Source organism: Homo sapiens, chromosome 2, assembly GCF_000001405.40.
Source record: "Homo sapiens chromosome 2, GRCh38.p14 Primary Assembly".
NCBI lineage: Eukaryota > Metazoa > Chordata > Mammalia > Primates > Hominidae > Homo > Homo sapiens.
The window spans coordinates 226,114,212-226,116,761 of NC_000002.12; the positions used below are offsets into that span (position 1 = coordinate 226,114,212).

The following is a 2,550-nucleotide window of genomic DNA, read 5'->3' on the forward strand; positions in this document are numbered from 1 at the left end:
TGAATGATTTCTTAATATAGTTTTGAAAAAAAAATACAGTTCAGTGATATAGTCCATGGCCTCAAGATATTTGTATGTTGCAGAAAGTAAGCTTTACGCTAGCATCCCAGTTGGACAATCATATTAAATCATAGAACAGCAATTTTATTATCAAGCAGTTATGTTTGTCTCATAGAAATTTGGCCATATTCTGCATTTTTCTCTTTAAAAATTACTCACTATGTGATATGAGTGATAGACAAGGAGTTTTGTTACCCAGATCCTCTTCAGAAATGGACTGTTGCCTCTACTGCTGCTGCTGACCACATGCCTGGTCTAGCTGTCAGCTCCTTTAGGTGCCTCCTCAGTGAGCGATCTGGCTAAGGTCACGTCCTTTCCATAGTAGCCCACATCCAGTGACTGACCTCTGGCGGGTACTAAAGTGCAGTCATTCTGACTCCTGGGGAACAAGCCTGTTAAGCCATACGCACTCCAAAACTCCCTGCACACTCGGCCAAGGCTTTGTTGGGCTTGCCTCAATGTTTGACTTCTCTCTTTGCCTACTCTTACTGCTGACCCCTCCCTTCCCCAGGTGTTGGTCCCTGATCAATATCCTTCATATCAAACTGTGCTCAATCTCTGCCTTTAAAGATTACAATCTATAACCATATAGAAATCAGAAGGGAAAAATGTTTATAAAGTGGATAAATACATGGTTTATTTTTGATATTGGTTTTCTGTGTCTAATGTTACAGGGATGTGATTATTTTTAAAAGTCTACACATGCTTTCAGATACTTATTTTTTCAAAGCTACACAATGGGGTATAACTTCTATCAGCTTCTCCAGCCCCAAGTACAAATTTGAAAGTGATTATTTCAGACTCTGTTGCTATTGCTGTAACCTGTTCTCCAGTGAATTAGAATAATGGGAGTTGGGTACATCCTCTGTGGCAGTAAAGTTGGCTCTGCTAGTACACAGGGTATTATCTTCTTTGTAATGCTTGCAAGAAGAAGATCAAAAGTAGCTCCGATCTTCATCTTAAACCATAGATTATGAGTCAACCAGGGTTGGCCCAAGATAAATATCTGATGTGTGGTTAGTCATATGGTGAGTCAGTGTTCTAATCAGTGGTAGAGTTAATCAGTCGGGGTTACTCACCATGCCTAACTTTCATGCACTCCTTCCAGAGGGAAAATACATGCATTCTTTTGGCATATTTGGTTTTGCATGTACATCATTATGTTTCTCCTCCCACTACCACAAGAAAAAGATATTAATTGTAGTAAAAAATAAAGTTATAAACTTCTGGCAAGCTAAAACTGAGAACAGGTTATCAAAGGGATGTGTGCCTGTTCACTTTTAGAAGTGTATTAGGTCTTTCATAGCTGAGAAAGGACAGAAATAGGGAGATAAAGTCGTTCACCTCAGATCACAAGCTAAATTGGTGGTAAAGGCTGGACTAGAATCTAGATGTAATGGGTAACTTTCACCCACATTATGTCAGTCCCATTTAGACTTCCTTGGTTGACTAGTATTGATGTAACCAAAAAGACATCTACTCAAAATTCAATATTCTAATGGTAGTTATTGAGAACTTACTATCTGTCTGGTCCTGTTTAAAGAGTAGGACATATAGCAGTGAATCAGGCACTTTTTTTTTTTTTTTATCAAGAACTTTCTGGCAAAGATATATATTTTGTTCCTGCGAGAGGCCATTTGTTGCATATCAACAGCCAGATAAGCCTTAAACAAACAGGTAATAAAAAGGACAGTCTTGGCTACTCTTTTTGTGATTTAATCTAGAACAACATTTCTCTCTTGGTATTTACTTCATCAGGCTGATGTAAGGACTTGCTACTGCATTCATTGTCAGCAATGGTCACAGCAGGCCTGAATACTTTTTTGTTGTTGTTAACTGTATTTAAAGGTGTTGTACCATTCACTTGCAAAGAAACTGTTTTTATCAAATGAGATTTTGCTTTGGAAGAATGGCAATGCAATTCAGCCATGTTTTTTTCTAAATTAATGTAACATTTGCATAATAATATTTTAAAGTAATTGCTTGGGCCACTTTCTTTTTTTATTTTTTGCAGAAGAACTAGCAGATCGCTGTTAGAAAAACATTTGTTAAATTTCCAAATCATAATGTATTTTAGTGGTGAGAGGAGCTCAGTAAAGGAAATTAAAGGCATCGTGGACTCCACAGAGCATGGAACACAATGAGCTCTCAAAAAGTCATTTGTTGGCAGATATTGTTATTCTCATTTTACAGCATTCTGTGTATCTCCTTTATATCACTTATTACAATTAGAATTAATCCTATTCAATTACTTCCGGAGAAGCACCATGGTTAAGTGGCTAAGAGGATGAACTCAGAAGCCAGTTTAGCAGGGCTCATTCCTGCATTTCTGCTCCCATCACCTACTAGCAATATATAGCTTTGGATATGTTACTAAACTTCTATGTGTCAATTCCTTGAATGTAAATAAGTATAATGTATTACCTATAGCGTTATTATAAGATTTAAATTAGGTAATATTTGTGAAGTACTTGGAACAGTGCTCAGTGT

General features: G+C 37.1%; 2 annotated features.

Annotated features, from left to right (window-relative positions):
* Positions 922-1,216: an enhancer, noted in NCBI's record as "tiled region #10559; K562 Activating non-DNase unmatched - State 24:Quies, and HepG2 Activating DNase matched - State 5:Enh". NCBI's record gives its function as "activates a minimal TATA promoter and a strong SV40 promoter by Sharpr-MPRA in K562 cells, with weak activation in HepG2 cells {active_cell/tissue: HepG2 | K562}" and the evidence as "EXISTENCE:reporter gene assay evidence [ECO:0000049][PMID:27701403]".
* Positions 1,601-2,427: an enhancer, noted in NCBI's record as "OCT4-NANOG hESC enhancer chr2:226980528-226981354 (GRCh37/hg19 assembly coordinates)". NCBI's record gives its function as "activates a minimal SCP1, AML or CMV promoter by ChIP-STARR-seq in primed H9 embryonic stem cells {active_cell/tissue: H9 hESC(primed)}" and the evidence as "EXISTENCE:reporter gene assay evidence [ECO:0000049][PMID:30033119]".